At 38.5% G+C, this 23,908-nt stretch overlaps 3 annotated features.

The window, feature by feature from the left end:
- Positions 6,944-7,113: an enhancer, noted in NCBI's record as "experimental_40127 CRE fragment used in MPRA reporter constructs". NCBI's record gives its function as "activates a minimal promoter by MPRAs in K562 erythroleukemia cells, with activity observed for both the introgressed and non-introgressed 15:55001024 variant alleles {active_cell/tissue: K562}" and the evidence as "EXISTENCE:reporter gene assay evidence [ECO:0000049][PMID:34662402]".
- Positions 8,426-8,595: an enhancer, noted in NCBI's record as "experimental_40125 CRE fragment used in MPRA reporter constructs". NCBI's record gives its function as "activates a minimal promoter by MPRAs in K562 erythroleukemia cells, with activity observed for both the introgressed and non-introgressed 15:54999542 variant alleles {active_cell/tissue: K562}" and the evidence as "EXISTENCE:reporter gene assay evidence [ECO:0000049][PMID:34662402]".
- Positions 22,362-22,531: an enhancer, noted in NCBI's record as "experimental_40111 CRE fragment used in MPRA reporter constructs". NCBI's record gives its function as "activates a minimal promoter by MPRAs in K562 erythroleukemia cells, with activity observed for both the introgressed and non-introgressed 15:54985606 variant alleles {active_cell/tissue: K562}" and the evidence as "EXISTENCE:reporter gene assay evidence [ECO:0000049][PMID:34662402]".

Below are 23,908 nucleotides of genomic sequence, written 5' to 3'. Positions count from 1 at the left end.
GGATGACTGGAGAAATCAACATCAGAACATCAAATATATATTGGGGTGGGTGCTCCTTTTCTTGTGCTTAGTCAGGCTATGAGGAATATGGATTACCTGACAATCTGAGGACCCAAAGCCTTTTACCATCTTTACATACTTTCTGTGCTAACTTCTTTGATCATGGGAAAATGAATAATAGCCTAGTTCCTGGGAATAAGTGGTTATTTATCAATGTTTCAGGGGGATAAAAATAATAGATATGAAATCTTTGGGAGCCTCACAGTATTGAGAGACACAGCAAATGCAGTTTAAGATAAACAGACAAAGGCAATTTGTTAATATCTCAAATTAGTTTCAGACATTATCATGTATACTGTAATTTCATATCCATATTATTATTTGATTATCATAAGATCTCTAGTTGTAGGTACAGTTGAAATCATTCCTTTGGTGAAAATGAGGTACAGAGGGAATTAGTACTATAGAGGCAGTGATACTAATACTTATATAAATGCTAATAACATTTAATGAAATAGAAGGACAAAGTAGGAAGGCAAACTGTGACAGCAGTGACTCTAGCGATCATTCCTGAGGAAAGACAAGGTAAGAAGAAATAATACACCATTTATTTCTATAGATGAACGAGGTTCAAGATTCTCATTGCACACTCTGATAGGTAAAATATTTTGACTGTGTACTTCCATATTTCAATTTTAAGCACCAACTATGCAAATTTTTTCTCAACTTATATAGTAAATTTCCATCTTCTACTGTATCAATCAGTCACTTGTTCTTGCAAAGTAATCAGAAAGTGCTGCCTTGTTGTAGTTTTTAACAAGTTGGCGCAGAACCCACTGAAACTCTGAAAGATATTGAAATAATGTTAGGGTACTCTCCTTCCAAATTTCTGAAGTGATCATATGTGACAAAATTTTAAATAGGTAATATACTTAAATTGTTCTTGGAATCAAAATGACATGACTCTAGGAAAGTTTCCAAATATCAATTTCCAAAATATTCTTGCTGAAGTATAACTTTATTTTTTAAGAAACCACTTCTCTCACTCACTGTTAAAAATATGACCTTTATCTTGAAAGGATAAATTAAATATGTATATACATTTTAAAATCACTTGGGAGCATTTATCATAAAAATCATGAACCATTTGATTTCTCTGTATAATAATTTATAACTAATATGAAAATTCTGCAGCTCTTTTAAGTGCTTTGCCACGAGCAAAATTTCACATGTATAAGACTTTAATGATTTCTTTCTGTCTCATTAGGTATTTTAAGTATTCTACACAGTATTTTGAAATTCTCATTTTTACACAGTTAATTAAATCATGATACCTTTTAACATTTGGTGCATTTCTTACTGTAGCCTTTTTTAAAATTTAAATTAAATATATTTTACAACTTTTGGTCTTATTCCTTCGGCATATTTGCATATTAATACGTAACGATGTAACTCTTTTTAATGATCTTAAAGTTCTGTTGTTCAGGTGAATCATTACATCATCTTCTATTGATAAATACTTGAATCGTTTCCACCTATTTCTCATTATTAACAATGCTATGGGTAATATCTTCATATATATGTCTTTGTACATATGTACACATGCCCAAAACCATATTACAAAATTAAGCTTCCATAGAATACTGGCATATAGTAGATCCTAAATGAATATTTATTGAATTAAGGAAGTGCCTCTTGATCTTTTGAACCACATCTGAGGTCTGGAGGATCTGAAATATGACCTGAATTCCTGAAGAGGAACTCTACAAATACAGTATATCCCTGTTAGCATACCAGGATTAGGGGACAGAACCAAAATGTGTTTAAAATGAATATAGTCCAACAGTGTTGGGCACCAGTGATTTCTTAATATCTTCACCACCTAGAACCTCATTCTGAAATATTTTGCTTGCCAAACAAATAATAATTACTTACATTTTTACTTTATTTAGGCACACTTTTAAGTCTTGAAAGCTATAACTTACAGTAAAACCAAACCCATAAAATGGGAATCTGTGTTTATCTGTGTTTAATCTACTTAACTTTAGAGAATGCAAGATTTAGTCAAGGAGAATGCACGTGTAGACTACCTCTTGAGAAAATATATTTATGCTTTTAGTGAAATATTCACATAAAGACAGCCCAGTACCAAGCCCTATGTACTAATCCTGATGTTACTGGGAATTGGATTTCCCCTGTGGGGAACTGATTGGGGCTGAACTTAAATCTCCAAGGTTCTGGCCTTACTTAGGCATCTAAAGATTTATTCTACAGATCTAATTAGGAAGGTTGAGCTATGGCTGTAAGCTTTTGCTGCAATTGTTTGATATGCAGTCAAAGAATATAATATTACCTTGGAGTAAATGAATAGATGAATAACTGAATGAATTTAAATGATGCCTGTCACTTAAAGATTCCGGTTAAAGTATAACTCCATCAGTAGTTACACTTGCAGGTTTTAAAAAATAAATACTTGTATTTTTTAAGTTAAAGAATATATTTACTTTTGAGAATGTATGTGTGTGTGTACTCTTTCATTTGGTGTTTCACTAAACAGTTCTTAATGTATTATTACAACAGAATGTAGGCTGGGCATGGTGGCTCATGCTTGTAATCCCAGCACTTTGGGAGGCTGAGGTCGTGGATCACTTGAGGTCGGGAGTTTGGGAACAGCCTGACCAACATGGAGAAACTACATTTCAACTAAAAAAAAAAAAAAAAACAAAATTAGCTGGGTGTGGTGGTGCATGCCTGTAATCCCACTGTAATCTCAGCTACTCGGGAGGCTGAGGCAGGAGAATCGCTTGAACCCGAGAGGTGGAGGTTGCAGTGAGCTGAGATCGTGCCATTGCACTCCAGCCTGGGCAACAAGAGCGAAATTCCGTCTCAAAAACCAACCAACCAACCAACAAACAGAATGTAGCAAATGTTTTAAAATAGGATATTAGAAATATGTTTTCATCCAACTATATTAAAAAACCTTCCATACTTAACGTCATTCACTCTAATGCTTGTTTCTTCAAAATTTTAGCAGTATATCTATGCACCCTCTGAAAGCATTGTTTGCTAAAGAAATGCATTTTGATCACTATATTGTATTCAGTGTGTTGTTTCAGCTATTTAGCTACTTTTACAACTTCAGGTGGAATAAGCACTGCTGGCAAAGCCAAGCCCCCTCATTTGGCTTGCACTCTGAAATAAGAAATCTCTAAAGAGGCTTCTTATCTTTTTATAGCATTTAGTGAAATGTTGTTGTACCCTGGATTGAGAATCACATGATTTGCTGTGATACTGTAGAAATTTGTGTTCAGGTTCTGGATAATTAATGTTTTAATGTTAATCTTGATGACTTCATACAATCGTTGGGTAATATCTCAAGGCACAGTGAATACTTAGGGCAAAGGTCACTCTTAAAAATAGTAGATGTAGATCTATATTTCAAATAATCTTGATATATCCAGGTTTTTGAAGCCTACTTCTTGTCAGATGTGATAGATTATCACTTTTGTTTTAACTTCAAAGCTGACAAAGAGCTTGTACACTCTTACTCCTTTTAGTTTGGTCAAAAAAAATAGACAACAAACTAAACATTTAATCAGCCTTACATAGAATGAAATATGTTGCAATATAATGAAAACCAGCACAGCTAGGGTATCACTCCAACATACTTTGTGTGGGGGAGCCTCTCCTCCTCCTTTAGGTGACACAATGCTGGAAATGTGATATCCAACACGGAGACATGGGGTTGATCCATATGTTAAATGAAATATTCTGTGTCCTTTTTTATACAAGTATAACTTTAAAAATAGCTAACACAAAGCCATGTTTTTCCTATTTATGTCCACCTACCCAGCATGAGTTTGATAATTCTAAAAAATTCTGGTAGCCTTTAGAATGTGAAACATCATGGCTATTTCCTAACAATAGCTATTTTTATTATCTGCTGGTTTCTTAGTTTTAATGGTATCTACACTTCTGTGATGCTTAGGCCCCTAAAAGATTGAAAGCATACACAGTGAGGGTACCACTCTATTCTACTTCATGTGGGGGCACTTCTCTTCCTCATTAGGTGGCACGATGCCGGGCATGTGATATATGACACAGAAATGAGGTGCTGATCCATAAGTTAAATAAAATACAGTTCTAGCAAAGTATGAAGTAGTTGCGTCTGCTTCTACCAAACAAGATTTTTTGTGTCCAGTATCCAGACAGCTGGTTTCTGAAATGAAGGCACTGGACCCACATATTCTCACTGCAAAGGACACTGCTACTGTGGCTGCTTCCACCGACTGTTATCATCACTGAGACTGCAACGGAATGATGAAAAGAGGGTGGTATTATCTCCATGTCAGGCATCTTTCTTTGAGGACTATAGCAGTGCAGTGTCTGAACCAAAGTAGGTATACAGGAAGTATTTATTGAGCACCTGAATAAATCTTATGGCAAGGTATTATGTTATAGGCTTTAAGAACCCTGCGCTTCTATTTGTAGATCTTACCAAAATTATAATCGGATTTATAGGCAATTATTTATTTAATGGCAGCCACCTTGCTTCTCAAACCACTCCCCTCCCAAGTAAGCTGCTTGAGTTTAGACACCAAAGTCTATGGTATGAGTAATGTTAATGCCCTTGACTCTAGACGTCGTGAAGATATTTTTATTGCGAAGATACATATTTAGTTTTTACTTGTTCTTTTATTGAAGCCCCTCAAGGAGGAGATAAGGGATGCTGGGCAAATGAATGATTATAGTGACAAATACGTAGGTGTGGTGACGAGGGGCATGTGCCTTTCAGACCTTCAATTAAGGAGTGTAATTAAGTCCCCATCTGCTGCACCCTGAAATCCAAGAGTGTGTTTGCATTGAAGCCATGCTTCTTCCAGGACAATCCCTGTTAATGACTGAGGGAAGAAAGCTGACTCATTTCAGGGAAACACAGGACTGTTATTGGCCAATTTCCTGAAGGCTTTACTGAAGCTTTCTTCGACCATGTGGTGGTCTAGGACGCATCCAGCGAACTTTCTCTCTGTTTCTTCTTCACTCCAAATCATGATGGTCTGCTGACTCTCCAAGTCTTCTCTGGCTGCCTCCTTACTTCTTTTTCACACAGGTATTTTCCCTAACAAAACTGTCAGTGTTTAATCCCATCTTTGTGTTTGTTTCTTGGAAGATCCTAATTAAAGTAGTAGTGTAGTTCAAATGTTCCTAACACAAAGAAATGATAAATGCTTGAGGTGATGGATATCATGATTACCCTGATTTGTCCACTATACATTGTATGTCTGTATCAAAATATCACATGTACCCCATAAGTATATGCAACTGTTACATACCCATACTAATTAAAAACTTAAGAAAAAAAGTAATCAATCTTTTATTTGTTTGTTTGTTTTTGTTTTTGCACTAGTCTACTGCACCTCATCAAACATGTGTTTCAGCTTTTGTTGTTTTAGGATGGGATATTTTCCCCCATGAAGTTCCTTCGTTCTTTATGTATACAAACCCCTGAAGTGCTTTTCTCAAAATTTCTCTGTACTTGCTTAGGCACCCCTACATCCATGGCCTTGATCTATATATACTAGGACTATAAATGTAAAAGCATGAACTTCTATAATTACTGTTAAGGCTGTGAAAGAAGACAGGAGACAATTTATCTTTTATCACTGTGATTCTAGAGGAGCAAGATGTGCACAGACCTGTGTTTAAATGCTGGATGACATATTAGAGCTGGAAGGTTTGAGAAATCATAGATTTAAACTGTTCCATAAATTCTTACTAGTAAAGATGGTGTGCTGTTTTGCAATGCTTTGCATTCTCACATTTATTGCTGTGAGTAGACATAGGCATTTTGTAAGAAGAAAAGAACAAGACAAATGTGCTTTGTGAGCAGCAAAGTGACAAAACATTAGTGGCCAAAATGAGAATATATGAGAGAGCCAAGGGCACTGTTAATATGATGGAAAAATACAAAGTACTCAAGATCAGTGAGGATAATTTTGCTCTCTGAAATTAGAACTGTGTGGAATAGCTTTCTAATTTATAACAATTACTGGCTTGTATTGGCCTATTAGAAGTATCTGCTAAAGTCACATAAATTGAATTTGACCAATGGGACCTTACTTAAAAATAAAACTATAGTGTGGCAAATTCAAGTTGTGTTGTTAAGGTAAAAAACTTAGTCAAGGAGTAGCCCAGAAAAACATCAGCAACAGAATTTAGGCAGACAACCAGCTTGTAAAAAATATCTATCTCTCACTGCCTAAAATCACACAGGTAGCCTCATTTAATGAGACTGAGTAATCTGATGCACAATGAATATGACAAAAGACTCAGAGTTGCCCAAAATAAGACCAGTGACTTTCATTGTATCATTTTTTTAGTGTGTGTGTTTTGAATACATATTCAACAGGTGGTGAAAATATTTGGACTCTTTTCAAGGGATGGTCATTCACATAGAAGAGAAGTTGGAAGGATATCCTCTTCAGGCCCAGGAGAAAAGGACTGTGCTATTTTCTGAGCAGACATAACCTATTTGAGAGGATGAATCTGAAGAAGTTGAGCTGTACTCTCATTGCAAGAGCTGCATGTTGCTACAGTTATCACTAATCATTTCTTAGATTTAGAATGGAGCTTCACCAACTGATAAATACCATATAGTTCTTTGAGAAACCATTGCATCATGTCATGACTGATGCATTTTGGTAGGATGTGGGCACATAATAGGATATGGTAATATCAAAAAACAAACAATTGACGGGACCAGAAACTAAGACTTATAAGAGGATATGATAATTGTGGAGCACTGATCTATTTTTCTGCTGGTATTGTTCTTTCCTATTAGCCTATTGGGTTAATCTAGTTCCTTTTATAAACCTAGGCATACATTCTTCAAAAGTCTGAATAAATGGTGTCAAGCTACCAGACTGTCTACAAGATGGAGCAAGTCAGTAGACATATGAGCTTTATGAAATATTTCCAAGTTTCTTATGACCAAATTTCTGAGAAAAATAATAATTTGCAAGTGAAAGCAATGTTATTTGTGTTGAGTCTGGTATGTATCACGGTGGGCTCAGAAAAACGGAGCAATCAGCTACTTTTACAGGTTCTAGTGATGGCAGTGGCTGTTGTCATCACTCCGGCTGCAGCAGAGAGGTGCCCTGGGTGGGGCTACAGCTGCCCAGACTGCGCTGTGGATCTGAGCCTCCCTGTGCTCTTGCGGGGAACCGGGAGCAGGCAGGATCTCCCCTCCTGGGTGTAGCTGCAACCGCCCAACCCCTGGTTGCCGACCTGGTCCTCCCACTCCACTCAGCAAGAAGGAGCTGGGGACAAGCAGGAACCCTTCCCCTTCTGAGTTGGCCGGGTGGGAGCTCTGCGAGTGCAGCTGTGGCTGCCCTCCCAGGCTCAGGAACTGGGCATCTCTGCAGCCTGCACCCATGGGGGCCTGGGAAGGTCCCCTCGCCCCCCACAATCCCTGCAGGCTCGGAGAATGTCTTCTCCTGCTACCTGGCCTCTTTCGGCTCCCATGCTGGCTCTGATCTTGGAGCAGGGTTGGGGCTGAGCCCCAGGGCCATGAATGGCAGCGGCAGGGAGATTAATTCCTGGGCAGAAGGGGGCGGGTCTCCAGTAAGGCCCCACCTTCAGGCCACGCAGGGACTGAAGGCTGGGAGCTAGGCTGCCAGTTCCTCAGACCAGAGTGGGAATTACTGGTGCCTCTTCCAGGCCCTCCCATGGTCACCTCCGGACCAACTGGCACACACTTTCTCCCGTCTGAGGTCCACAACGGCCCTGGACTCAGCCAGAGCAGGGCAGAGGACAGCCAGAGGACTAAGAGGGCAGAGAGACACGGAGACGATCAGCTGCAGAGAGGAGTATCCTCTGTGCTTAGAGCTGCAGAGAACGATCTGCCGGCAGAGAGGAGCTACCCTCTCCGCTCAGAGCTTCAGAGACCTGCGGAAATGTCCAGAAGACCTGTCTACAGAGAGGACCTATCCTCTCCAGGGCCTCCTCTTTGAAGACAGCTGAACATTCCACAGGATGACCTGCCTACAGAGAGGAGCTACCCACTCCTCTGAGCTGTTCTAACACTAAATCAAACTCTTCTTCTTCTTCACCTTTCGCTTGTCTGTGTATCTCATTCTTCCTCAGGACAAGAACTTGGGCAAAGGCACCATGGCCACAGAGGTTTCCAGTCAGAAAAATCGACACCCCAGAGATCCCGTTAACAGTAGGAGAGTCAAGAAGATGGTTTTCTTTCAGTGTGTGCCAGTGATCCAGAATGAATGATTGATTGTTTTTGCTAGTAAAAGTTGGAGAGAAAGAAAAAAAGAAGAACAGAAAGGAAGAGAGAGAGCAAAGCAAAGATAATGCAGAAGAAACTAAAAGTAAAAGGAAAGAGGGCGGGGGAGGAAAAATCACATATTCCCTGTGAGCTTCATTGCCCTGCCTAGAGATTTTCCAAATATCTAAAAATTATTTTTGTGGATAATTTTTAGCATCTCTCATAATATAACTTAATTCCATGATTTTTTTTTGTCTATTAAATATCTGTTATAATTTAAGACATTAATTCTGTTAGGCTTTTGAAATATTCAGCATAGCTTGGGGATGAACTTTTCTACTCTTAGAAACTCGGGATAGAATTATGCCGAAACTCCTCTATCAATTTAGGGAAGTTAACCTGTTAACTCTGGAACCATAGTGTAGGATTTAGCTTTGCTTAGGAGTTCCCTGGATCTGCCAGAGTAAGTTGCTGGCCTTTGGGTACCACCTCACTCTGTTGCTCACATGCATTTGTTAATTTGTTTAGTGCCAGGATCCTTCTGGTCCCCTTACATGAGGAGATCTGAAGCGACAAGTCTTCATTGCAGGCTTTGATTCCCTCAAAGCCTAACTATATTCTCTCTGGTTCCTACAAGTTCTGTTAGCGTTCACTGTTGTGGAAGCAGGAATCAAATTATTTAAAAATTTGTAGCTATGTTATTATATTTTAAGTAAGTATTTTTGGTAAGCCAACAAAGGAAAATGGATATTTGAAGCTTAAAATCACCTTATAAAGTTTTGTAGTCTTTGAAAAACACGACTTCTTTTAATTTATGTAGTCTATTATTGTGTCTTCAAAATTATTCAGCTATCAATTATAAGGTCCTGTGTAAAGTCAGTTTTGAAGTATAAATAGGATTCAATTGCATTGTATCATGGGTCCCCTGAAGTAAAAGAGAAATTTCCTGAAATAATTTCTTTTTCGGAAGAACTATGAACCCTCTTCTTACAGTTTATTTGATTTTCAAATGACCATTCCTTGACTACTTTTACTATAGGACAAAATAATTTTCTGTATTTTAAAAATCAGTAGTGCTTATAACTATTTTATAGGAAGGAAGTTTTTTTTTCTTATTTTAACATCAAATTGTTTTCCTTGGCAAATGGAGCCTACATGACATTTGAATACAATAAAAAAATTGGCTGAAAATCCAGATACATCAAGTCCTCAAAAAACATCATTTTGTTCAACATAGTTTAGTTATATCACTGATGAGAAAAAAATAGATTCCTGGCTGGGGCCACATTCTCTGTGGATTTTGCATGTTCTCCTTATGTCTGCATAAGTTTTCTCTGAGTACTCTGGTTTCCTCCCATGTCCTAATGCCTGTGTGTGTTAGATGCATTGGTGTGTGTAAGTGATGCCAGTCTGAGTGAGTGCAGGTGTGTGTGTGTGTGTGTGTGTGTGTGTGTGTGTGCCTTGTGAAGGGATGGTGTTCTGTTCAGAGTTGGTCCCTCCCTATCCCCTTGAGCTGCTGAGATAGGCTCCAGCCACCATGACCCTGACCTGGAATAACTGGATGAATAATTATCTTGAATTTATTAGTTCTTCTTAAATGTATGTTGATCTCACAGTTATTTCAGTGTTTAATATTAGAGGCGTTTAGAGTCTTTATTTAGAGGTTTGGTGATGCTGTTGTGATTAGAAATGTGGCATAGGAGCTTACTTATTTATATCAATTAGCCTGTGGTAAGATTGGTTTCATTATATATCATTTGGCTTAAAGTCACAGTTTTCAAGAACCTATCAATGGTGTTAAGTAAGGACTGATTGTATTATTGAATATTTTGATTTTTTACCTTAAAAGAAATATGTGTAATAAAAATAATTTTTAGGCTTTTCTATAATGTTAATTTTCCTGTGATTACTTACCCTGAAATACAGAGGGATTAGTCCAAGGTCTTTTAATAGCCATAATGATGAAACGTAAAAAGCATGAAATGTTTTAAAAACAACCCTCTTTGGAACTTTTTTTTACATTAATTTCCAGCTCAGTAAACCTTCTTGATGGCAACACCAAATGTTTCATGTTAATCCAATGTGTGATTCATTTCAGTTTTACTAATCTTGCCACATACAGTTCTAGAATAAAGCCAGATGCTAAAGAATTATTTTACAAATACAAACTTTTACAGATGGAAATTTAGTGGAAATTATGTGTATATTAGGTAGCAATTGGTTAATGATCACAAATCTTTATGATTGTATAAAGAAAAATAAAATTCACATCACAGAAAAAGCTCAACATAAACAAAAATAAAACTTTGAGCTGAAAAGATTAAGAAAACAACACAGTTGCCTGCTGTTAGGTAAAATGAGTGTACCTGAACTCCAGGTGCTGGCATGTATGTACCGTTTAATTCAGTTATTCCACAGACAGATGTCAAATTTGGCCTATCTTCTGATTCCATTATACATTAATTCATGGTAGATATAAGAAACATTCTAATTGGCTTAGAAAGAAAAATAAACCTCCTTAATTATCTTACTGAAAATCACAGTTTAACAGCTCCTCCAGGCTTAGCATCATAGAATTTTAGGATTGCTTTTTTTTTAAAAATTTTATTATTATTTATACTTCAAGTTTTAGGGTACATGTGCACAATGTGCAGGTTTGTTACATATGTATACATGTGCCATGTTGGTGTGCTGCACCCATTAACTCGTCATTTAGCATTAGGTATATCTCCTAATGCTATCCCTCCCCACTCCCCCAACCCCACAACAGTCCCTGGTGTGTGATGTTCCTCTTCCTGTGTCCATGTGTTCTTATTGTTCGGTTCCCACCTATGAGTGAGAACATGCGATGTTTGGTTTTTTGTCCTTGTGATAGTTTGCTGAGATTGATGGTTTCCAGTTTCATCCATGTCCCTACAAAGGACATGAACTCATCATTTTTTATGGCTGCATAGTATTCCCTGGTGTATATGTGCCACATTTTCTTAATCCAGTCTATCATTGTTGGATATTTAGGTTGGTTCCAAGTCTTTGCTATTGTGAATAGTGCCGCTGTAAACATATGTGTGCATGTGTCTTTATAGCAGCATGATTTATAGTCCTTTGGGTATATACCCAGTAATGGGATGGCTGGGTCAAATGGTATTTCTAGTTCTAGATCCCTGAGGAATCACCACGCTGACTTCCACAATGGTTGAACTAGTTAACAGTCCACAGTCCCACCAACAGTGTAAAAGTGTTCCTATTTCTCCACATCCTCTCCAGCACCTGTTGTTTCCTGACTTTTTAATGATTGCCATTCTAACTGGCGTGAGATGGTATCTCATTGTGGTTTTGATTTGCATTTCTCTGATGGACACCGATGATGAGCATTTTTTCATGTTTTTTGGCTGCATAAATGTCTTCTTTTGAGAAGTGTCTGTTCATATCCTTTGCCCACTTTTTGATGGGGTTGTTTGTTTTTTTCTTGTAAATTTGTTTGAGTTCATTGTAGATTCTGGATATTAGCCCTTTGTCAGGTGATTAGGTTGCAAAAATTTTCTCCCATTCTGTAGGTTGCCTGTTCACTCTGATGGTAGTTTCTTTTGCTGTGCAGAAGCTCTTTAGTTTAATTAGATCCCATTTGTCAATTTTGGCTTTTGTTGCCATTGCTTTTGGTGTTTTAGACATGAAGTCCTTGCCCATGCCTATGTCCTGAATGGTATTGCCTAGGTTTTCTTCTAGGGTTTTTATGGTTTTACGTCTCACATTTAAGTCTTTAATCCATCTTGAATTAATTTTTGTATAAGGTGTAAGAAGGGATCCAGTTTCAGCTTTCTACATATGGCTAGCCGGTTTTCCCAGCACCATTTATTAAATAGGAAATCCTTTCCCCATTGCTTGTTTTTCTCAGGTTTGTCAAAGATCAGATAGTTGTAGATACGTGGCATTATTTCTGAGGGTTATGTTCTGTTCCATTGGTCTATATCTCTGTTTTGGTACCAGTACCATGCTGTTTTGGTTACTGTAGCCTTGTAGTATAGTTTGAAGTCAGGTAGTATGATGCCTCCAGCATTGTTCTTTTGGCTTGGGATTGACTTGGTGATGCGGGCTCTTTTTTGGTTCCATGTGAACTTTAAAGTAGTTTTTTCCAATTCTGTGAAGAAAGTCATTGGTAGCTTGATGGGGATGGCATTGAATCTATAAATTACCTTGGGCAGTATGGCCATTTTCACGATATTGATCCTTCCTACACTTGAGCATGGAATGTTCTTCCATTTGTTTGTATCCTCTTTTATTTCATTGAGCAGTGGTTTGTAGTTCTCCTTGAAGAGGTCCTTCACATCCCTTGTAAGTTGGATTCCTAGGTATTTTATTCTCTTTGAAGCAATTGTGAATGGGAGTTCACTCATGATTTGGCTCTCTGTTTGTCTGTTATTGGTGTATAAGAATGCTTGTGATTTTTGTACATTGATCTTGTATCCTGAGACTGCTGAAGTTGCTTACCAGCTTGAGGAGATTTTGGGCTGAGATGATGGGGTTTTCTAGATATACAATCATGTCATCTGCAAACAGGGACAATTTGACTTCCTCTTTTCCTAATTGAATACGCTTTATTTCCTTCTCCTGCCTTATTGCCCTGGCCAGAACTTCCAACACTATGTTGAATAGGAGTGGTGAGAGAGGGCATGACTGTCTTGTGCCAGTTTTCAAAGGGAATGCTTCCAGTTTTTGCCTATTCAGTATGATATTGGCTGTGGGTTTGTCATAGATAGCTCTTATTATTTTGAAATACGTCCCATCAATACCTAATTTATTGAGCGTTTTTAGCATGAAGGGTTGTTGAATTTTGTCAAAGGCCTTTTCTGCATCTATTGAGATAATCATGTGGTTTTTGTCTTTGGTTCTGTTTATATGTTGGATTACATTTATTGATTTGCATATGTTGAACCAGCCTTGCATCCCAGGGATGAAGCCCACTTGATCATGGTGGATAAGCTTTTTGATGTGCTGCTGGATTCGGTTTGCCAGTATTTTATTGAGGATTTTTGCTTTGATGTTCATCAAGGATACTGGTCTAAAATTCTCTTTTTTGGTTGTGTCTCTGCCCGGCTTTGGTATAAGGATGATGCTGGCCTCATAAAATGAGTTAGGGAGGATTCCCTCTTTTTCTATTGATTGGAATAGTTTCAGAAGGAATGGTACCAGCTCCTCTTTGTACCTCTGGTAGAATTTGGCCGTGAATCCATCTGGTCCTGGACTCTTTTTGGTTGGTAAGCTATTGATTATTGCCTCAATTTCAGAGCCTGTTATTGATCTATTCAGAGATTCATCTTCTTCCTGGTTTAGTCTTGGGAGGATGTATGTGTTGAGGAATTTATCCATTTGTTCTAGATTTTCTAGTTTATTTGCATAGTGGTGTTTATAGTATTCTCTGATGGTAGTTTGTATTTCTGTGGGATTGGTGGTGATATCCCCTTTATCATTTTTTATTGCATCTATTTGATTCTTCTCTCTTTTCTTCTTTATTAGTCTTGCTAGCGGTCTATCAGTTTTGTTGATCTTTTCAAAAAACCAGCTCCTGGATTCATTAATTTTTTGAAGAGTTTTTTGTGTCTCTATTTCCTTCAGTTCTGCTCTGATCTTAGTTATTTCTTGCCTTCTGCTAGCTTTTGAATGTGTTTGCCCTTGCTTTTCTAGTTCTTTTAATTGTGATGTTAGGGTGTCAATTTTAGATCTTTCCTGCTTTCTCTTCTGGGCATTTAGTGCTATAAATTTCCCTGTACACACTGCTTTGAATGTGTCCCAGAGATTCTGGTATGTTGTGTCTTTGTTCTCGTTGGTATCAAAGATCATCTTTATTTTTGCCTTCATTTCATTATTTACCCAGTAGTCATTCAGGAGCAGGTTGTTCAGTTTCCATGTAGTTGAGTGGTTTTGAGTGAGTTTCTTAATCCTGAGTTCTAGTTTGATTGCACTGTGGTCTGAGAGACAGTTTGTTATAATTTCTGTTCTTTTACATTTGCTGAGGAGTGCTTTATTTCCAACTATGTGGTTAATTTTGGAGTAGGTGTGGTGTGGTGCTGAACAGAATGTATATTCTGTTGATTTGGGGTGGAGAGTTCTGTAGATGTCTGTTAGGTCCGCTTGGTGCAGAGCTGAGTTCAATTCCTGGGTATCCTTGTTAACTTTCTGTCTCTTTGATCTGTCTAATGTTGTCAGTGGGGTGTTAAAGTCTCCCGTTATTATTGTGTGGGAGTCTAAGTCTCTTTGTAGGTCACTAAGGACTTGCTTTATGAATCTGGGTGCTCCTGTATTGGGTGCATATATATTTAGGATAGTTAGCTCTTCTTGTTGAATTGATCCCTTTACCATTATGTAATGGCCTTTGTCTCTTTTGATCCTTGTTGGTTTAAAGTCTGTTTTATCAGAGACTAGGATTGCAACCCCTGCCTTTTTTTGTTTTCCATTTGCTTGGTAGATCTTCCTCCATCCCTTGATTTTGGGCCTATGTGTGTCTCTGCACGTGAGATGGGTTTCCTGAATACAGCACACTGATGGGTCTTGACTCTCTATCCGATTTGCCAGTTTGTGTCTTTTAATTGGAGCTTTTAGCCCATTTACATTTAAAGTTAATATTGTTAAGTGTGTATTTGATCCTGTCATTATGATGTCAGCTGGTTATTTTGCTCGTTAATTGATGCAGTTTCTTCCTAGCCTGGATGATCTTTACAATTTGGCATGTTTGTGCAGTGGCTGGTACCGGTTGTTCCTTTCTATGTTTAGTGCTTCCTTCAGGAGCTCTTTTAGGGCAGGCCTGGTGGTGACAAAATCTCTCAGCATTTGCTTGTCTGTAAAGTATTTTATTTCTCCTTCACTTATGAAGCTTAGTTTGGCTGGATATGAAATTCTGGGTTGAAAATTCTTTTCTTTAAGAATGTTGAATATTGGCCCCCACTCTCTTCTGGCTTGTAGAGTTTCTGCCAAGAGATCCGCTGTTAGTCTGATTGGCTTCCCTTTGTGGGTAACCCGACCTTTCTCTGTGGCTGCCCTTAACATTTTTTTCCCTTCATTTCAACTTTGGTGAATCTGACAGTTATGTGTCTTGGAATTGCTCTTCCCCGAGGAGTATCTTTGTGGGGTTCTCTGTATTTCCTGAATTTGAATGTTGGCCTGCCTTGCTAGATTGGGAAAGTTCTCCTGAATAATATCCTGCAGAGTGTTTTCCAACTTGGTTCCATTCTCCCCGTCACTTTCAGGTACACCAATCAGATGTAGATTTGGTCTTTTCACACAGTCCCACATTTCTTGGAGGCTTTGTTCATTTCTTTTTATTCTTTCTTCTCTAGACTTCTCTTTTCACTTCATTTCATTCATTTCATCTTCTATCACTGATACCCTTTCTTCCAGTTGATCGCATCAGCTACTGAGTCTTCTGCATTCGTCATGTAGCTCTCATGCCTTGGTTTTCAGCTTCATCAGGTCCTTTAAGGACTTCTCTGCACTGGTTATTCTAGTTATCTATTTGTCTAATTTTTTTTCAAAGCTTTTAACTTCTTTGCAATTCGTTCGAATTTCTTCCTGTAGCTCGGAGTAGTTTGATCGTCTGAAGCCTTCTTCTCTGAAGTCATCAAAGTCATTTTCCATCCATCTTTGTTCCATTGCTGGTGAGGAGCTGCGTTCCTTTGGACGAGGAGAGGTGCTCTGATTTTTAGAGTTTCCAGTTTTTCTGCTCTGTTTTTTCCCCATCTTTGTGGTTTTATCTACTTTTGGTCTTTGGTGATGGTGATGTACAGATGCATTTTTGGTGTGGATGTCCTTTCTGTTTGTTAGTTTTCCTTCTGACAGACAGGACCCTCAGCTGCAGGTCTGTTGGAGTTTGCTAGATGTCCACTCCAGACCCTGTTTGCCTGGGTATCAGCAGCGGTGGGTGCATAACAGTGGATATTGGTGAACCGCAGATGCTGCTGCCTGATCGTTCCTCTGGAAGTTTTGTCTCAGAGGAGTACCCGGCCGTATGAGGTGTCAGTCCACCCCTACTGGGGGGTGCCTCCCAGTTAGGCTACTCGGGGGTCAGGGACCCATTTGAGGAGGCAGTCTGCCGGTTCTCAGATCTCAAGCTGCGTGTTGGGAGAACCACTGCTCTCTTCAAAGCTGTCAGAGAGGGACGTTTAAGTCTGCAGAGGTTACTGCTGTCTTTTTGTTTGTGCCCTGCCCCCAGAGGTGGAGCCTACAGAGGCAGACAGGCCTTCTTGAGCTGTGGTGGGCTCCACCCAGTTGGAGCTTCCCGGCCGCTTTGTTTACCTAATCAAACAACTAACTTGGCAGTGGCAGGTGACCCTCCCCCAGCCTCGCTGCTGCCTTGCAGTTTGATCTCGGACTGCTGTGCTAGCAATGAGGGAGGCTTCGTGGGCATAGGACTGTCCGAGCTAGGTGTGGGATATAATCTCCTGGTGTACCGTTTTTTAAGCCCGTTGGAAAAGCACAGTAGTAGGGTGGGAGTGAACCGATTTTCCAGGTGCCATCTGTCACCCCTTTCTTTGACTAGGAAAGGGAATTCCCTGACCCCTTGTGCTTCCTGGGTGGTGATGCCTCGCCCTGCTTCGGCTTGTGTATGGTGCGCTGCACCCACTGTCCTGCACCTACTTTCTGGCACTCCCCAGTGAGAAGAACCCGGTACCTCAGTTGGAAATGCAGAAATCACCCGTCTTCTGTGTCTCTCACGCTGGGAGCTGTAGATGGGAACTGTTCCTATTCAGCCATCTTGGCTCCTTCTCTCCCGAATTTTAGGATTTCAAGAGAACCTGGAGATGATCTGGCTTGATCATTTTACATTTGAGGAAACCAGGGTTCAGAAGTCTGATGTGACTCTTCCAATTATGTTGATCTGGATTAAGGAGGATCTGGTTCTGACTCCTGACAAATATTGTTTGTATCCATTATAGATAAATAAGTGCACTAGAGACACCTGAGCAACTCTCCCCCATTTTCAGATATAAGGATGGCTATGCTATGCACACAAGCACCAAATTATATTAATGATGGCCACCACTTATTGGGTGTCTTCTGTATAGCATACATTTGATGTATATTACTTATAATTCTAACATATTTGTGACCTGGTAATTGTTATTCTTTTTCTATTACTGATAAAGAAATTAAAGTTCAGAAAGGTAAATTACCTTTTTCAGATCTACACAAACAGTGAATAGCTGAAGCAAGGTATAGTATGACTGTTCCTGAAGGTCTCAGGAAAAGGGATTTGAAGGAAGGGAATGTACAAACTATCGGAACTGTAAGAATCTATATGATAGTGGAAGAGTTGATGGGGTGCTAGTTCACTTCTCTTGGTGACTGAGATAAACAGCAGTATCAGACAGGAAGTCACTTGTTTTTAAAACTTGGATTAAGTCTAAGTTTAGCACATGATATTTGTTCTATATAATTAAAGATATGTAAAAATCAGAGTATACATATATAGCTTTAGAATTTTCTTTTGGCCAGTGAAAATTTAAAAGCTAAAGAGTCTATTCACATTTCCAGCATTCCATTAGACTCCTTGTTTCATATATTTTATGTCTCTGATGAGATTTCTCATCTGTTATTGCATATTGCCTTTCTTTTCTTCTAGATTATTTAAAATCTCAATCATAGATTTTTTTGTTGATCTGAAAGTTCTAACATCCAAGTCATCTCTGGCTCTAGTTCTTTTAACTGATGTTTCACTAAAATGCTGTTCTTATTCTAGTCTTTTTGTGTTTCTGATACTTTTCAGTTAGAGGTCAAACATTGTATAGAAGAATGGTAGAGACTGAGGTGAATAATATTTATGCCTGGAAATGGGCCACCCCTTCTTTAGGTCATGGATGTGGGAGTTGAGTCAATTTAGTAAGTGATTGAGCTGGGATATTTTGTTGTTATATTCAGTGCACCACAGCCTTCAAATGCTTACAGCAGTGGGCTGCCTCTGCCTTGTGTTTCGTTTAGGGGTTGGGGTACCGCAAAGTTTTTCTCAAAGTTCGTGCTCCATCTGCATATCTGGGCATAATGGGGGTCTCTCTCCACATTCCTAGCCCTCCCTCAGCAGCAGACAATTTTGCTACTATTCTTTCTGGCTGCTAGGGCAATAGGATTTTCTAACCCTCTCCCATGGCTTGACTTTTGTGTCATAGAAAGGATGGCTCAGAGAATGGGCATATTTTATGTCTGTGCACCACGAAGTGGTTCTTTCTTGGATCTCCTTCTTTGAATCAAGTCTTTTTTGAGAGTGCCTGGTGGTGGCTTATGGAAAAGAACTTGTAAGTGAACGTAGACATACCCTTGTGTCTGAGCTTCCAGGGATCTCAAACTGTCTGTCACATGAATCCACAGTCAGCCTTTAAGAATTAATTAGTTATTTTGCTTGTTTCTTCTTTCTTGTTTTTTTTTTTTAATGGCACTTGCCTCTTTCTCATGTGTTTTGTCAAAAGTGAAACAGTTCAGGTGTCCTGTCTACCTTTTGAAACTCAGTTCACATAATTGTTCTGAAACCTCAGCTCTCTGATAGGTTTAAGGAAAGTTATGATTTTGTAGATTTCCCAGCTTTTTCTTCTTGTTAGGATGACAGTCATACTTCCTGCTGCTTTATATTAGAGGCAGTAGAACACCTCAGCCCACTCTTATTAAAAATGTGTAAGGATAATCATCTAACTGTTGTTATTCCTGGTTCTACATGTTTATATTATGATAGCCAAATAAACATTCTCAAATTGGGTAGTTGCATTTTAGTCATTAAATACATTTCTTTATCATTTGAAAAAATATGAGTCAAGGGATGTGAAGAGACTGAGTGTTGTGATGAACATAGAAGCTTTTACTTGTAGCCAGAGGATACTATAAGGAAATGGTTTGCCACTAATTATCTAGTGACACTGGTAAGCTTACTTAACTGCTTTCTGTAGCTCATTACTTTGTAATGTAAAAAGCATCATTTTCGTACTATTGTTGTAAAGATCATGAATATACTTTTTCATTCAAAAAATGAATTTGAGCATCCATAGTCAGTAATAAAGGTGTTAGTAATACAGGAGTGAACAAGGGAGAAGCTGTCCCTTGCCCTTGCAAAGCATGCATTTTACTGGGAAGAGACAGATATAAACATGGAGAAAAATTAAGGTAACTTCAGGTAGTAAGTGCCTTGAAGAAAAAGTGGGGTAAGAATACAGAATTAATGAAGTCAGGTGGGGATTGTTTTACAGTGTGTGGGCAGTAGGTTACTTTTGACTAGAAACTGAATGACTCCATCTTCCCCCGAAAAAATCAGCTTTGAGAAGGCCAGGTAGAAGAGAAGAAGCATATTCTAGTTAAAGCAAACTTCAAGTGTGAGCCCTGAAGTGAAATAAGCTTGATGTATTTGAGCAACTGAAAAGTCAGTTTGGCTGCAGCATAGTTGGCTAGAGAAAGAATGGAAGGGGGCTAGTTTGGAAAGGGAGACAAGATGCAGATTATGTAGTGTTTGATGGGTGAAGTTAAAAAAAATTGTATGCATGACCCTAACCACAAGCCTGAGAAAAGGTAAGTATTCAAGAAGTGTTAATTATTTTATCATTATCATTTACTCCTCTCTGTGGATGTCAATATATCCTACCCCAAATAAATAAAAGTCAGGAAAAGGATGGTGATACACTGCTCTGGAATTGTAAGTTTGGGTAAGTAAATCTAAACTGGGAAAGCTAAGTAAAATTAAGAAATCTAGGGATTTTGTCTTCCAAACTGGTCTTAATATCACTATTCATCTGTGTGTTGGGTATAACTAGAGTTCTAGACAAAATTTCAGGTTGGTCAGTTTATGTTTTGAGGTCCAAACTCCGTTAATTACTGTTTTCCTTCAAATGCTCTTCTATCCTACACCAAAGATATCAAATGTCTTTCATATAACCCCATGAAATCTCTCATTCTCATAGCCAATATATTAATTTGGAAGTAAGATAAAAATAAGAGGTAAATTACTGATAGGTTTTTATACTGCCAAACTCTAGGCCTTATAACCCATTCCTACAGATAACTGAATTTGAGATAAATTAACTAAGATATGGTTATGTCATAGAAATAACCAGGTTCTTGTCATATGACCAGGAAAGATTAGGCTCACCGACACATAGAAGGCTGAGGAGCAGTATTTATTGGGTGAAAAGGAAAAAGGAAAAATAACTCTCAGCCAAGTGAGAGAGAATCCTGCTGGCAGTTTGAATCCCAGGTCACCACACAGGAACAGGAGAGGCCAGGCTCCTCCCCTCTGCAAACAGTGAGAGCTTCCCGAGGTTCCACTCTGTCCAGGAGTGCTCAGGTGGTCATTATACAGAAACAGTTGGGAAAGGGCCAGCTTCATCTGGGACCAGCAGTCTGAGTTTTCAGCCTTCAGGCTTTTTTATGCTTGAAGGCAGGGTTTCACTGGGAACCCTTGGCTGCCTCCTGTCTCTATCAGTTATGACTGTTAACCGTGAGAAAAGATATTTTTGAGCAAAGGCATCTTGCAAACTCAAACTTGTCTTTCCGATCCTTGGTCTGTATGGTGGTTCTGGAAAAAAATACATTCAGCATTGTTTATTAACATGCAGTCACCCTATCTATGCTTCCTTTATTCCTTTTTAAAAAATCTGTATTAAAACAACAAGCAGTTGCCTTTTATTCTAGAGAGAAATGGGCTCAGCACAACACAAAGATCTCATTTTCTTATGCTTCTGTTTTCTGCTTTAATGTAAAAAGCATACTAATATTTAAGAACAAAACCTAGAATCTAGGCTGAAAGGTAATGTAGGTATCATCTCGTGCTTCCACTCTCCAAATCTTTTGCTCCTCTGTAGTCCTGCTGTAATTTCTCACCAAGATCATTGGCTTATCCTTGGCTGGACAAATTCTTCTGGCACAGAGAATGCAGAGAATACAGTGTCTCACGAAGTGGCCCATTTAATCTTGGCTTATTTATTTTAAATTTCTTTACACACCTCTTATAATTCTCTCACTCCAACTTACTCATAAACAATGTATTTTGGATTCTAATGAAATCCATGATCCCCAAATGTTGATATTTTTCCTCCTATGTTTTTATCTTCCTCTTTTTGGTAATGTATCTAACCTTCTTGATTTCTTCTCTGGTAACTTTTACATATTCATATCTGCATTTATGCTGTTGCCAAGTTGCCAACATTGTAATTCCTGGGGTTTTATTTTTAGTAAAAGAATATATATATTTTTAATATTACTGATATGATCACCAGAAAAAGTCAAGTTCATTTATTAAACTTTTTCTTTTGTTTGTTAATTCGTTGAGTAGAAACTTATTCAGGCATTTATCTAGGTCTTGAGGTTATAATAGTGAACAAAAGGAACAAAAAGAACTTTTGTAAGATGTGTAATAAAGATGTTCTGACACCTCACTCTGTTCACCTCTTTACTTTTTTATACCCCTTAACTACCAGGTCCTCTTAGCATATATACATATGTAATTCCTTACATGTTAAGAGTGAGGAATTCTGGACGTTCTCTAACTTACGGAATTTTAATTATTGATATTATTATTATGATTATTTTGAGACAGGATTTCACTCTTTCACCCAGGCTGAAGTGCAGTGGGGCTATCTTGGCTCACTGCAACCTCTGCCTTCCATTCAAGCAATTCTCCTACCTCAGACCCCTGAGTAGCTGGGATTACAGGGGCCCGCCCCCACACCTGGCTAATTTTTGTATTTTTAGTAGAGATGGGGTTTTACCATGTTGGCCAGGCTGGTCTCGAGCTCCTGACCTCGTGATCTACCCACCTCGGCCTCCCAAAGTGTTGGGATTACAGGCGTAAGCCACTGCGTCTGGCCTGATATACTATTAATATCAATGAGATGAAAGTAAGAACCTCCCCATAAGCTATTTATTACTGCTGAGAATTGGGTGCTTTTTTCCCCTTCCATAGTCTCAGCAGATTCATCTTTAATTGTTGTCTTCAGATTTTTAATGCTTTGGCATGCCACTTCCCCAGTCTTTTCTCTTGAAGGTGTGCTCTCTTCTCATCTCATAAACTCAGAATTTTGTTCTGGTTTGGACTAGAATATTCAAAGCAAGATATTCCATGTGACATCCCTGCTGTGAACTCTCTTAAATTTCCTTCAGTTGCTAAGATCATTATAATCAATATGTATTTTATGAGTGTTAAAAAAAATCTCCTTTAAGATTTCTTTGTTTAATCCTCTGCTCTTTTTCTTTCTAAATCTTCAGGCTTCATCTGCAACCATACCGTCATTTTCCCTTTTGCGTGTTGTCTAGTTTTATTTGAAAAATGTTTCCTCATTAGACAGAAATCTTTCTACTAGTTTTTCAAAACTGATGGGTAAAATCTAGAGCAAGAACTACAATTGTTACCATCTCCTGCTTTTTGTAAAATGCTTTTTAATTTTTTTTTAATTTTTATGGACACATAGTAGGTATATATACTTATGAGGTACCTGTGATGTTTTTATACAGACATTGAACTCCTCTGCACTGATTTTGCCCAAACTTCCTTTCTCCAGTTACAGATACACAATGAATCTTCTGGTCAAGGGTACTGTGTTTTTTGATAGGGCAATGAAAAGGGACCCTGTGGCTAAGAGCTGTCCCACAACTAGAGTATAAGAATAAAAGGGACACCAGGACATATTCACGTTTTCTATCAGCCACTAAATTTCCTATGAATATACTTCCCTTTCTATTTCACTTATTTTCTTTCTTTCTCTCTCTGTCTCTTCTTCCCCTCCCCTCCCCTCCCTTCTGTTTTTGATGGAGTCTTACCCTGTTGCCCAGGCTGGGTATCTGGCGCGATCTGGCTTACTGCAACCTCCACCTCCTGGGTTCAAGCAATTCTCCTGCCTCAGCTTGCCAAGTAGCTGGGCTTACAGGCATGCATCACCACGCCCAGATAATTTTTGTATTTTTAGTAGTGACAGGGTTTCACCATCTTGGCCAGGCTGATCTCAAATCCCTGACATGAGGTGATCTGCCCGTCTTGCCCTCCCAAAGTGCTAGGATTACAGGCTTGAGCCTTGCCTGGCCTACTTCACTTATTTTCATTTTGTTTCTACCACCAAGGACGACAAATAATCATTCTTGACTCATCCATCAGTTTTGCTTTTTCAATTCAGTTGTATTTAATTTTCATCTTTTTTGTTTTTTTTTGTACTTTTGAATTTTTGCCCTTTCATCTCTTACCCCATTTCTCTTGCAGACTCTTGACATCTTTTGATAACTTCCGGAAAAATATCCATTGCATAAGCAATGATTGGACTGGCCGGCACCTTCATTCATTATACATATTTACGCTCTTCTAAATTTTGATAAGTTTTTCTGTAAAATGATCTGGGAACTCCATGAATTTCTATGGACTTCGAGAGGCTACTAGAGCAACCTGTTCATTTTCACTTATTATTATTTTTTTTCCGCATCTAACCCAGGGATGGATAGGGATGCTAGTATCATATCAACAACCTTTTAGGCAAAGGTTATTTTACACAATCTTGACTAGAAAACCATTGATTAGATTGACAGCTTTTAGATGTTTTCTTCATACTTCCCTCGTTTGTCATGTTCCATGATTTTTACTAAAGTTCAAGCAGTCAGCTTTTTTTTTTCCCTTTATGGCTCTTACCA

Source organism: Homo sapiens, chromosome 15 (genome assembly GCF_000001405.40).
Source record: "Homo sapiens chromosome 15, GRCh38.p14 Primary Assembly".
NCBI lineage: Eukaryota > Metazoa > Chordata > Mammalia > Primates > Hominidae > Homo > Homo sapiens.
Note: the sequence above shows the minus strand (reverse complement) of the source record. Positions and strands in the feature narration are given on the sequence as shown.